Source organism: Homo sapiens, chromosome 2, assembly GCF_000001405.40.
Source record: "Homo sapiens chromosome 2, GRCh38.p14 Primary Assembly".
NCBI classification, from domain to species: Eukaryota; Metazoa; Chordata; class Mammalia; order Primates; family Hominidae; genus Homo; species Homo sapiens.
In genome coordinates, this window is record NC_000002.12 from 174,452,104 (window position 1) to 174,466,171 (window position 14,068).

Sequence of the window (14,068 nt, forward strand, 5' to 3'; positions counted from 1 at the left end):
AAAACCTTGGGAATTCTGATGTAAAGAAACGATTTTAGAAAAAAAGCAGACAGATAAAACAAAGACAGTGTAACTGCCAGAAAGGGTTTCTTGTAAAAGAAAAAAAAGTCAATGAATGTTTCATATCTGATATGTTTTCACTACTTTTTATGGAAATGTGAATTCTATTATTATTTAAGATTCATTCCTTGCCAGCAGATAGCCAAATATAAATCCCATCTGAATAACAATAATTACTACTGCTACTACATATTTTAATGACCATTTACTATGTATACCACATACTGTGCTAAGTGATTTGCATACATTGTTTTCTATAATCCTTACATTTCTTATATAAAAACATAATGCCTTTAGCAATAATACAGTTGACATAGGCCTTATCAAAAAGAGCATTTTTGGGGGTTTCCCTTTTTAGTTTGATTATAAATAAGTATAATCAACGAAAAATGCACTGCAATTCCACATAAGTATGTTCGGTTGTTTTGAATAATTTGAAATTTAGGCCACAAATGTAATTCAGCCTCTTAGTCAAAAGGTTATTACTTTTTTTTTCCCCCTAGATGGAGTCTTGCTCTGTCACCTAGGTTGCAGTGCAGTGGCGTGATCTTGGCTCACTGCAACCTCCGCCTCCTGTGTTCAAGCAATTCTCCTGCCTCAGCCTCCCAAGTAGCTGGGATTACAGTTGGGTGGGATTACCACCACACCCAACTAATTTTTGTATTTTCAGTAGAGACGGGGTTTCACCATGTTGGCCAGGCTGGTCTCGAACTCCTGACCTTGTGATCCACCCGCCTCGGCCTCCCAAAGTGCTGGGATTACAGGCGTGAGCCACCTTGTCTGGCCAAGAGGTTATTACTTTTAAAGGTGTTTGTTCCTTATTTTATAAGAATGGCCATATTTAAAGCATAAAGATTCAAAATATAATTAAGAACTAATTAATTAGTCCTGGTCCTAGGGGATGAGAATGGGGGAAAAGTCTGTTTCTAAAACAAGAAAAAAGCTTCCCTCTCTCCACCTCCCACCAAAATGCCCTTTAGGGCAAACTTCCTGGATTTGTCACTTGGGTTAAATTTATTGGAAAATGTGTGTATGACACTACCTATTATCACTTTGTGAGAACTTTATTTTTTAAAGTGAGTATTCTGTCTATGCACAATTATTCCCTATTAGCACTTCTTTGCTCTTAATTGAGGATCTATATTCTTGATGTTTGTAACTTCTATAGATATTCTATGTAGAGTTCTTTTGAGGGATAAGAATAAGGAATCTTCTGGCCGGGTGTGGTAGCTCACGCCTGTAATCCCAGCACTTTGGGAGGCCGAGGCAGGCAGATCACGAGGTCAGGAGATCGAGACCATCCTGGCTAACACAGTGAAACTCCGTCTCTACTAAAAATACAAAAAATTAGCTGGGCATGGTGGTGGGCGCCTGTAGTCCCAGCTACTCAGGAGGCTGAGGCAGGAGAATGGCGTGAACCTGGGAGGCACAGCTTGCAGTGAGCCAAGATAGCGCCACTGCACTCCAGCCTGGGTGACAGAGCAAGACTCCGTCTCAAAAAAAAGAAAAAAAAAAAAAAGAATAAGGAATCTTCTGTCCCTTAATCCCATCCTCATAGTCCAGAGGCACTTACTTTTCTCAAACGAAGGAATCACAGGCTCACTGGTGCTTGTGTTTGCTATTGGCTCTATTGATGGGCAGTGTAATTCACCATTTCCCATGGAGCAGGAGCAGCAACCTATATCAATCAAATAGTATGTGAGAGTAGAGCCCAACCACAACAGAAATGGACAATTTTAAGAAATGCCAAAGAAAACAAAACAAAATCCACTCACACACACTTCCCATGTAGCCTCAATAGTTTTCACATGGTATCTATCCAAAAGTATTCAAATGTTCTCACTCATATACAAAATAAAAAAAACTTAATCTCATAGAAGCACTGAATGTGGCCAGGCATGGTAGCTTACACCTGTTGCTTCAGGAGGCTGAGGTGGCAGGATCACTTAAGGCTAGGATTTTGTTTTGTTTTGTTCTGTTTTTTTGTTTTTTGAGGTGGAGTCTCACTCTGTTGCCCAGGCTGGAGTGCAGTGGCGCAATCTCGGCTCACTGCAACCTCCGCCTCCTGGGTTCAAGCGATTGTCCCGCCTCAGCTTCCGAGTAGCTGGGATTACAGGCACCTGCCACCAGGCCCAGCTAATTTTTGAATTTTTAGTAGAGACAGGGTTTCACCATGCTGGCCAGGCTGGTCTAGAACTCCCGACCTCAGGCGATCTGCCCGCCTCGGCCTCCCAAAGTGCTGGGATTACAAGTGTGAGCCACCATGCCCAGCCGAGGCTAGGAACCTAAGATCAGCCTGGGTAATACAGCAAGACTCTGTCTTTACAAAAAGCTTTTTAAAAAATAGCTGGGCATGCTGGCATATGGCTATAGTACAGCTTCTTGGGAGGATGAGGTGGGAGGACTGCTTGAGTCCAGGAGTTTGAGATTACAGGGAGCAGTCACGCTCCAGCCTGGGGAAAGAAGGAAGGAAGGAAGGAAGGAGGGAGGGAAGAAGGGAAGGAGGGAAGGAGGGAGGGAGGGAAGGAAGGGAAAGGAAGGAAAGGAAAGGAAGGGAAGAAAGGGAAGGGAAGGAAGGAAAAGGAAGGAAGGGAGAGGAAGGAAGGGAAAGGAAGGAAAGGGAAGGAAAGGGAAGGAAGGGAAGGGAAGGAAGGGAAAGGAAGGAAAAGAAAGGAAGGAAAAGGAAGGAAGGGAAGGAAGGGAAAGGAAGGAAGAGAAGGAAGGGAAAGGAAGGAAGGATGAGTAGTGGGTACCGGATACTTGGGCAGGTAGGGGGTGGCAGGGATGGGGTCAACAGGTACAAAGTTACATTAGAATAAGTTCTAGTGCCCTATCATACAGTATGGTGGCTATAGTCAACAAAGATACTGTACATCTCAAAATAGAAGAGAGGATTTTGTATGTTCCTACAACAAAGAAATTATACATTTTGAAGTGATAGATATGCTAATTACCCTGATTTGATCATTACACAATGATCTCCAGCCTGGGCAACAGAGCGAGACTCCATCTCAAAAAAATAAAAATAAAAATAACAACAACAACAACAACAAAAACACAAACAAATGACCAAACAGAGAAATTAGTGAGCTTCGGTTTTAAAGGCCCTGAAGAGAAGTGATAACATGAGTGCCGAGTGCTGGACGGACCAAAGAATGGAAGGTTCACTGGGTAGCTCAGGCAGCTGCAGGGAGAGGTGGCAGAATAGGCTCGGAGAGGGAATATGGCTGGCAGTGGAAGGGCTTGGGCACTACGTGCAGCGCTTTGGGCATCACGGGCACTGCAAGGCCCTTGCAGCCTCTGAAGCAGGAGCCTGATGTGGCCAGAACTCCGTGAGGAAGGTTAATTTGGCCATTTCCCTTATAAAACAGACTGGACCAGAGTGACAAGAAACAGGAAGTTCAGTTAGGAGGGAATTACAAGAATCCAGCAGAGAGACTGGAGGCCCAAGTCGGGAGATGGGAGGTCAGGGGGAGGAGGGGGACCCTGCAGAGGGAGAACTCCACGCCCTGAATGGCTAATTCACCTCAAGGGGAAACAGCAGAGATGTTGCTGAGCTGGGAAGTTCTAAAGAATGATGGAACCACTAAAAGAAAGATAATTGTTTGTTTAAAAAGCTCCAGTACCTTTGACAAAGAGAACAAGTGCTGTCCACGTATTCAGAAAGAGACGTAAATAATTTTTTATTTTTTTTTTAGATGAAGTTTCGCTCTGTCACCCAGGCTGGAGTGCAGTGGCACAATCTTGGCTCACTGCAACCTCTGCCTCCCAGGTTCAAGCGATTCTCATGCCTCAGCCTCCCGAGTAGCTGGGTCTACAGGCGTCTGCCACCACAGCCTGGCAAATTCTTGTATTTTTAGTAGAGACGGGGTTTCACCATGTTGGCCAGGCTGGTCTCAAACACCTGACCTCAAGTGATCTGCTTGCCTTGGCTTCCCAAAGTTCTGGGATTACAGGTGTGAGCCACCACGCCTGGCTGAGATATAAATAATATATGTGTAGACAGCAGGAAATCTGGGATTGGATCTGTATAAAGGGGTCAGGTTAGAGATGCAACATTAGGAACAAAGTACAAAGGGTTCACATTAAAGCCATGGGAACTTACCTATTTCCTGTGACCCAGGAATTACCATCCTAGGTATAATTTTTTTTTTTTTTTGAGACAGTGTCTCGCTCCGTTTCCCAGGCCAGAGTGCAGTGGTGCACTCTTGGCTCACTGCAGCCTCTGCTTTCCAGGCTCTGGTGATCCTCCCACCTCAGCCTCCTGAGTAGCTCGGACTACAGGCACATGCTACCATGCCTAGCTAATTTTTTATTTTTTGTAGAGATGGGTTTTGCCATGTTGCCCAGGCTGGTCTCCAACTCCTGAGCTTAGGCAATTCACCTGCCTCAGCCTCCCAAAGTGCTAGAATTACAGGTGTGAAACACTGCACTCAGCAACATCCTAGGTATAATCTTGATGTATCTTGATGTATACTCAAGGAGATGTGAATAAAGCTGTACATTACAGCATTGTTTCTAATAGCAAAATATTTTAAAGCAACTTAATCCATCAATAAGGAAATTAATAAATAAAATTTGGTATATGCATATCATTGATTACATCTACAAAATGAATTCAAAAATATTGAGTGCAAGAAGACAACTACAGTATAAGATTTATATAAAAATGTAAAAGCATATAAAAATACTATATATTGTTGATGGAAAACCACACATATTGTAAAAGTATAGTAAAATTGTGCTCTGGAAGGATACAATCCAAATTCATAATAGTGGTTACTTCTGGAGTTAACAGGAATGAAAGATTCTAACAAACATTCTGACTTTATTGGTAAGTTTTATTTCTTTTAAAAAAGAAAACTGGGCCAGGCGCAGTGGCTCATGCCTGTATTCCCAGCACTTTGGGAGGCTGACGCAGGCAGATCACTTGAGGTCAGAAGTTCGAGACCAGCCTGGCCAACATGGTGAAAACCCACCTCTACTAAAAATACAAAAATTAGCCAGGCATGGTGGCACACACCTGTAGACCCGGCTACTTGGGAAGCTGAAGAGGGAGGATTACTTGAACCCAGGAGGTGGAAGCTGCAGTGTGCCAAGACTGCTCCACTGCGCTCCAGCCTGAGAGACAGAGAAAGACTTTGTTTCAAAAGAAGAGAAGAGAAAGACTTTGTTTCAAAAGAAGAGAAGAAGAGAAGAGAAGCACCATACAATAAATAAGTTAATATATTTGATTACAAATCAAGACACAAAGAAATCTCAGTCCTGATAGGCTTAGGCAAATACTGAAGTCCTGTCTTAGACTTTTTTTGAGACAGAGTCTTGCTCTGTCACCCAGACTGGAATGCAGTGGCACGATCTCAGCTCACTGCAACCTCTGCCTCCCTGGTTCAAGCGATTCTTCTGCCTCAGCCTCTGGAGTAGCTGGGATTACAGGCACCCGCCACCACACCTAGCTAATTTTTGTATTTTTAGTAGAGATGGTGTTTCACCATGTTAGCCAGGCTGATCTCAAACTCCTGACCTTGTGATCCGCCCACCTCAGCCTCCCAAAGTTCTGGGATTAGAGGTGTGAGCCACCGCACCAGGCCTTGACTTTTTTTTTAAAGACAGGATCACGTCTATTGCCCAGGCTGGATTGCTGTGGCGTGACCATGGCTCACTGCAGCTTCGACCTCCTGGGCTCAAGCAATCCTCCTGCCTCAGCCTCCTGAGTAGCTAGGACTACAGGTGTGTACCACCACATCCAGCTAATTTTTTATTTTTTGTAGAGTCAGGGTCTCACTATGTTGCCCAGGCTGGTCTTGAACTCCTGGGCTCAAGCAATCCTTCCAAAGTGCTGGGGTTACAGGTGTGAGCAACCATACCCAGCTTTGTCCTAGACTTTTAAAAGCCAGATGCAAAAATTCAGGATTGGAGAGAAACTGTTCAGTAATGTACTCGGGGTGGGAGGCAGGTTTTTAGTTGCTCATAAATTCAAGATGAAATCATCAGAATAAGTTAATGCAATGTTAGGCAGAATTAAAAGTTTCTTTTCTAAGTAAGGACAGGAATGATTCTCTTATTCTTCACTCAGTCAACAAGCATTCATCAAATATTGAATGCTCACTGTGTCCTAGGACCATGGTAACTGGAATGTTATATTCAGATCTAAGCATCCCATTTTAAGAGGTACACTGAGAAACTAAAATGAATCCTTGGTGTCTCATGCATCTCAAACTTAGAAGGGTCAAATTGAACTCATTATCTTCCCCTACATATTCTGTTCTCTGTGAATTCTTCTTAGGTAATACCCACAATTATACATTCACTTAAACTAGATTTCTGGAAGTTGTTCTCAGTTTCTCTCTTAGCCCTCACCCAGCTTCTAATCAAGTACCAAACCCTGTCAATACAACTTTGCCTGAGTTTGGCCTCTCCTGTTTATCCAATACCTACTGCCTTAGTATAGGCCCCAAAGACTCAACTCTGCCATTATAGCATGAAGGTAGCCATAGATGATATATAAATGAATGAGCATGGCTATGTTTCAATAAAATTATGGACATGAAATTAAAATTTCATGTAGTTTTTAAGAGTCACGAAGTATTTGTCTTCTTTTAATTTTTCTTCAACCCTTTAAAAATGTAAAAAACATTTTTAGGCTGGGTGCAGTGGCTCACACCTGTAATCCCAGCACATTGGGAGGCCGAGGCGGGTGGATCACCTGAGGTCAGGAGTTCTAGACCAGCCTGACCAATATGGTGAAACCCCATCTCTACTAAAAATACAAAAATTAGCCAGGCGTGGTGGCGTGCGACTGTAGTCTCAGCTACTGGGGAGGCTGAGACAGGCGAATTGCTTGAACCCAGGAGGTAGAGGTTACGGTGAGCCAAGGGTACTGCACTCCACCCTGGGTAACAGAGCGAGACTCTGTGGCAAAAATAAATAAATAAACAAACAAAGAAAAAAAACATTTTTAGCTGGTGGACCATACAAAAACAGGTGGTGGGCCAGATTTGGCCTATGGACTATAGTTTGCCCAAAACTGACTTACATCATTAATCTGGCTTTAAACAGGCCTCCTTTAGTTCATATTATTGATGGTGCTTGCCTGATACAATATTGTTAAATTAACTTATGTATGTGCTTCGTTTCCTAGTTAGGGCCTTCCTTCAGTTGTTACTTTTTTCTATATTCTCAGGTCCAGGGAAGTTTTAGGATTTAACAAAAGTGTATACTCACAATAAGACTTATAAACAAAAATCTAATGAATAATTTTACAAGCAAGTTTGTTGACTATGATTCAAATTCTTCATTTGACAAGCACTCATGATATTCAAACTAGTTCAAGGAAGTTTCCCATAAACAAAACATTTAGGATACATGCTATAAAGGCATGTAGCAGTTTCTTTATATTTAAAGATCAGGCTGGCTCATGCCTGTAATCCCAGCACTGTGGGAGGCCGAGGCGGGTGAATCGCCTGAGCTCAGCAGGTCGAGACCAGCCTGGGCAACATGGCGAAACCCCATCTCTACTAAAAATACAAAAATTAGCAGGGCATGGTGGCAGGCACCTGTAGTCCTAGCTACTCTGGAGGCTCAGGTGGCAGAATCGCTTAAACACAGGAGGCGGAGGTTGCAGTGAGCTGAGATCATGCCACTGCACTCCAGCCGGGATGATAGAGCAAGATTCTGTCTCAAATAAATAAAAATAAAATTAAAAAGATCATACTTGTTTCTGGAATAGAGCTTGTAAAAAGTTCTGGTTCATTTACTGGTGCTGGACTCTCCTCAAAAGCAGTATTTCCAGGCTCCACCACTTTGTGGCTCTGAGACTGATCGAAACCTTCATAGCTTCCTGCTTGGGCAGTCTGGTTCATGCACATGAGGGATATGCCAGCTATCAGGATGCTGCAGAACAGGGTGACTGCTGTGGTGATCATCTGCCGACATGAAAAAAAGATATCAGGCCACTTTTCACAACTTCATCTTGATAATCTTAGGGCACATTTTTTTTTTTTTTTTTTTTTTTTGAGATGGAGTCTTGCTCTGTCGCCCAGGCTGGAGTGCAGTGACACAATCTCGGCTCACTGCAACCTCTTCCTCCCAGGTTCACGCCATTCTCCTGCCTCAGCCTCCCAAGTAGCTGGGAATACAGGCGCCCGCCACCACAACCCAGCTAATTTTTTGTATTTTTTAGTAGAGACAGGGTTTCACCGTGTTAGCCAGGATGGTCTCAATCTTCTGATCTCGTGACCCACCCGCCTCGGCCTCCCAAACTGCTGGGATTACAGGTGTAAGCCACCGCACCCAGCCATCTTAGGGCACGTTTTTGATGGACAATATATCTCCACAGTTTTAAATACTCTAGAACAGTAGCTCTTTTAAAAAGGTAAGTGTATATAAGGAATGTAAGTTACTTGGAGAGAAATTAGGGTTTGCTTGTAATTACACAAGGTTTTAGATGCTTCTTTCATGTATAACAATTGGTTACCAACACAGCCACTGGTTTCCTTTACAAGGAATCTAAATGATTTCTCTCCGATGTTTTCTTTACTCCTGTTTCTGCTCACTTCCACGTATAATTCACGCATACTTCAGTCACTAAGATGTTTTTATGGTAATGATATTAAAAATAATTATAGCTAATATTTATTGAGCACTAACCAGATGCCAAGACTACTCTAAATCTTTTATATGTATAATCTTATTTATTCTCACAAAAACACAATAAAATCCAAAATTGCAAAACAGAAAAAAAGAGTAAGAAATCAAAATTATGTGGAGAGGCTTTTTAAAAACACATCTTTGGACTCCACTCCTAAAGAATTCTGCAGGTCCCACAAGCCACCTACTCTATAGCTTTTCAAGAATATTTTTCCTAGATACGTTTTGTCCTGAAATTTATATTTATGATAGGATTAAGAGTCAAGAATTTGACCTTTATTATTACTGCTAACTTATTAAATGGTTTTAAATTAATCACTCTTTTCTCCAGCACAGGAAACACAATTCCTAAGTGTGATTAAGAACATTCAATAAGTTTTAAGCATTTAGAAATCTTCAGCTAAAAATGGACTTAGACATGTAAAATGTTCATGTTCTAGATGAGACAAAGTGATATAGGATCACCAATCTGATATGCAATAAATTGAAATAGATTTTCAAAGTTAATTTTAATATAAGTCTAGCAAGGCACATAACGAGCTAAAAAGAGACATTCTCAAGAACAGAACTGCCAGTAAACTCTTCCCACCTGTTCTTTTCCATAAAAGAAGGCTGAGTCAATGCTATCTCCATTGTGTTTTCCAGTTATCAAAAGAACACCAACAAGGAGAGCAGGAATTCTGTAATCACAAGTGATATTGGGAGAGAAAAAGAAAGGATGAATAGTAACTGTCTATATGGAAAGGTGTAAGCAAACAGAGAACTACCAACTTACCCCCAGCCAGATATTATGATTATTCCAACAGGAATTTGTACCCTCTCTCGCTTTTTCAAAAGAAACAAAGAAATTGCTAGAAGGCCTAAGAATAAGAAGATTGAAAGAGAGACAGTTACTCAACATTGATCAGACTTTATGAAACTTTATTTCCTTTTTATTTTTTTAAACCAAGCTTATTTCATAGTAGTGTGTGGTTTTTGCTTTAGAATTTCTTCCTTCTAAATAAATGCTATCCTCAATATTTTGAAACAAGTTTTAATTCAAAATCATTCATTGTTTCCCTCATATATTGTTTCTTTACTCAATTCTTTTTATCTGTGAGGATTTATTTTATTTTCTCTCTGGTTTTTGTTGTTTGTTTTTTGGATAGGGTCTCACTCTGTTGCCCAGGCTGGAGTGCAGAGGTGTGATCACAGCTCCCTGCAGCCTTGACCTCCAGGGTTCAAGTGATCCTTCCACCTCAGCCTCCTGAGTAGCTGGGACCACAGCCACATGCCACCATGCCTGGCTAAATAAGAATTTTTTTTTGTAGAGACAGAGTCATACTATGTTGCCCTAGCTGGTCTTGAACTCCTGAGCTCAGTGGATCCTCCCACTTCTGCCTCCCAAAGTGCTGGGATTACAGGCATGAGCCACTGCGTCTGGAGAAGTATTTCTCTCCAAAAGCCCTAATCATTTTATTGTTTTGATTCATGTGTTTGGAATCTAAGTATAACTGAAAAACATTTTTTTTTTCTTTAGACAGAGTCTTACTCCGTTGCCCAGGCTGGAGTTCAGTGGCATGATCTTGGTTCACTGCAACCTCTGCCTCCCGGGTTCAAGCAATTTTCATGCCTTAGCCAAACAAGTAGCTGGGATTACAGGTGTGCACCACCATGTCAGGCTAATTTTGTATTTTTAGTAGAGATGGGTTTCACCATGTTGCCCATGCTGGTCTTGAACTGCTGGCCTCAAGTGATCCACCTGCCTTGGCCTCCCAAAGTTCTGGAATTATAGGCATAAGCCATTATGCCCAGCTGAAAAACATTTTTTAATTGAATACAGGACAATTCTAAAAATAAAAACATCCCCCTCTTCTGGTGCTAAGAAGTATGGGCAACTCTTACCCAGGTTATGTTTTTAGAAAACGCCCTAAGTGTAATGATAGCACTTAATACAAACACACTCTGAATTTAATACAAACACAAATGTTTTGAAGTTCTTGAACTTTCCTTACAACTTATATGTAATTATGTATGCAAGTAACATTTTATTTAATAAATTCTACATAGTTATAGGATCTTAGAACTTTAAAGTTGAAAGGGACCTCTATTTTTAAATGAGCACCTTAGATGTGGAAATGAGGGTTTGCCCAAGTCATACAGCCAGCAGAGGGCAGAGTGAGACTAGAAACCTGGCCTTTTGACACAAGCTAAATTCTTTGTTTCTTGAATCAGTTTCTCAAACTCAGATTTGTGGACCCCTAGGGTACCTAAGACATATTCTTCAGGATCTGGGAATTTCTATGAGAAATTTTAAGTCTTTTTTTTTTCTTTCTTTTTTTTTTTTCAGTGGTAGTCAGCTGTGTATCCACCTTGCAACCAACATGCAGTCTCATGATTTCAGAATTTACATTGGGTTTATTTTTATTTTATTTTAGAGATGGGGGTCTCACTTTGTTAACCAGGTTGGGGTACAGTAGCACAATTACTGCTCAAAATTCTGGGCTCAAGGGATCCTCCTGCCTCAGCCTCCTGAGTAGCTGGGACTACAGGCATGTACCAGCATGCAAAGCTAATTTTCAAATTTTTTATAGAGAGAGGGTCTTACTATATTGCCCAGGCTAGTCTCGAACTACTGGCCTCAAGCGATCCTCCTGCCTGGATCTCCCAAAGTGTTGGGATTACAGGCATGAGCCACTGTGCCTGGCCAGAGCTTACAATGGGTTTTATATTAAGTTTGAGTCAAGTGAAGGCCAAATGATATTACAACGCACAGTCCAAATGAAATGGTAGTTTGAAGAAAGAATATCAGTGAGATAACAAGGTCAAAACCCCACATATGGAAGTAAAGGCAAGGCAAAAAAGCCATAGCAGTGAGTTCCATTTTATGTTTCAAGCTATGATTTACATTAGCAAAACAAGATCCTTTGTCATGTTAATTAATGTTGCTAATTAGAATTACTGGGTTTGTAGTTTTGTTTGAATAGAATCTGTGAATTTGCTTTGGTTTTAGAATTGCATATTAGCTGTATATAAAGAATACATACCTAGATTTAAGATTGTCCAGATTAAATAACACTGTGCTAGATTTAATATAAATTGACATTGAGGTCCTTGAGAATTGGTTTTCTTTACCACTTTTCCTCCCTCAATCCATTTGTACACTGTGTAGTTGCAGTGCCAGGGAAACAAGTAACCAATCACAAAAGGGTGCCATCTTTGTTACAGTAGCAAAGGCAGTCTTTAAAATTCTAATGTGCATCACTCCTGCCTTGTGAAAAGAACTATATACAAACAGGCAGAATCCAGCTAGCCCTGGATGTCTCACTGAAGCTGTGAGAGCTCCTGCCTAAATCAGTCTATCTTTTTGGGCCTATTTCTCAGTTTGCAAAATGAAGGATTTAAATTAGACCAGTGTTTCCTAAGGTGTAGAGATTATAGGTGTCACAAAGGTGAAAATGTTTTGACTAGTTATATGTTTATTTTAATGCATATTTGAAAAAAACTAATTAGCAAATGAAACCTGGGATTTTACTGATATAAGGCTCAACTGATTAAAGTTTAAAAAAAGTAAATCAATTTTAAGGAAAAAAGAACAAGTAGTATGCAGATATGGCAAAAATTGTGAGGATGGTATGAAAATGAGTAGAACTAAAAATGATCGAATGGGATGACTTAAAATGACATTTTCAGGTCTAAAATTCTGTCATAGCATAATAACCTGATGGTTAAAGGGCACCTTTATTGGGTTTTGGGAATTCAGAATGACTTCTTTGAATAGACTTTGGCGTGCATGCTTGAAGGGGGTTTCAGAGAGACTTAGGACATTTTAATTGATTGATCTAGTTGCTGCTCTGTTATTCTGATTATAAAGTTAACCTGAGTAAGCCTAGTTATTAGACATCAAGTTGGTCCATCGATATTTTGAAATATAAAGTCTTTAGGCTCTTTTAATTTGACATTGCATAAAAACTCATGCTATGCAAGATGTAGTTGCCTTTAAGAAGCACAAACCATCTTCTGTTTGTGCTGAATTTTTCATTCCATGATTCCTCACCACATTGTTGCTTCACTTCAAAAGGCTGTTGACTGAGATGGGACCTGCTTTTGATCCTGAAGGCATGAAATCAAAGGTCCGTCCTTTGTGGACACTTCCTGACACCTGCCTCCTACCATTCTACTATTTCCTTTCATGTGCCATTTTATAGGTTCAAATTTGTAGGATGAATACAAAACAGCCAGACAGAATTTTTCACAAACATACCAGAATGCATGCATCCACATAAATATTATACTTCAAAATAGCAATGTGCTACAACATTTTGAATATCCTTTTTGGAGCCAGCTGAAATGAGAAACAGTCTTTCTCACTGGGTCCTTTTCTATTTCCATGCCTTTTTATTCCCCTAGTTTTCTTCTTCTCTTATTACCTCTAATTCTTCTATTTAATAACTAACATAGTTCTATTTATTTAGTGCCTACCATGTACCAGACATAAATACTCAACATTTCAGTTTGTCCTCAAAGTAACTCTGTAAGGTGCTGTAACCTAGTTTTACAAATGAGGAAACTGAGGCTTCAAAAGTTAAGTAATTTGCATGAGGCAGAGCCAGAATTTCCCTGTTCAGCAGGACTCGATAGTGAGCTCTGGAACACACCTCACGCATCTTTCCCATTCCCGCCTTTCTCCATCTGCCTTCAGTATCTTCCCTCTTGTCTCCAAAAGGGAGCAGCACTGACAGCAGCCTAGAGCCACAGGCCCTGGGGAAAAGGACCATGTGACTGGACAAGGCTCTAAGCCCAGGCAGGAATAGAGTACATTAGGAAACAGAACTCAGCTTTGCCGATGGCCTCTGTGGGTGGGCTGATCTGCCTCAGTGCATGCCTTGATCCTGTACTACCAGACTTCAAATAGATCACTAGAAGCTCAGGGCTATTAGGAATGGGGTGGGGTGGGGAACAGATCTCAATTTCCATTCATAATCCAACTCACCTGTCCACAGGTAGGTGCTATAGAGGGAGCTGTACAATAGAACAAACACCAAAATTTGTCCAACAAAATTTTTTTCTTTAACAAAATTCCATATCATCATTCCAGCACAGACAATAGACTAAGGAAAAAATTATTAAAAGACTTTGTAAATAGCTAAGAAAACCATATAATTCAATACTGCAACAGAAAATTCCAATTAAGCCAGCCATATTCATCTTTCATTCACAGCAAATATAATTATTTGTTTAAAATTTTTTGTGAATAATTATCAAGTATTACACACTACTTATACTAAAACTTCAAACTTTATGTTAAAAATCCATTTTATAACAGAGCCTTTGACAATATACATATCCAATTGAAACAGATGACTTCATTCTAAATATT

General features: G+C 40.7%; 1 protein-coding gene across 7 annotated transcripts in view; it reads right to left on the bottom strand.

Annotated features, from left to right (window-relative positions):
* GPR155 (G protein-coupled receptor 155) overlaps positions 1-14,068 on the bottom strand; it is a 55,459-nt gene that overhangs the window by 20,533 nt on the left and 20,858 nt on the right. For all 7 annotated transcript variants that reach the window (NM_001267051.2, NM_152529.7, NM_001267050.2 and 4 more), the window contains 5 exons: positions 13,682-13,799; positions 9,485-9,569; positions 9,299-9,389; positions 7,775-7,985; positions 1,634-1,738 (listed from right to left, as the gene is read on the bottom strand). In NM_001267051.2, the coding sequence (NP_001253980.1) occupies positions 1,634-1,738; positions 7,775-7,985; positions 9,299-9,389; positions 9,485-9,569; positions 13,682-13,799 (610 nt within the window). The remainder of the gene's footprint in view (positions 1-1,633; positions 1,739-7,774; positions 7,986-9,298; positions 9,390-9,484; positions 9,570-13,681; positions 13,800-14,068) is intronic.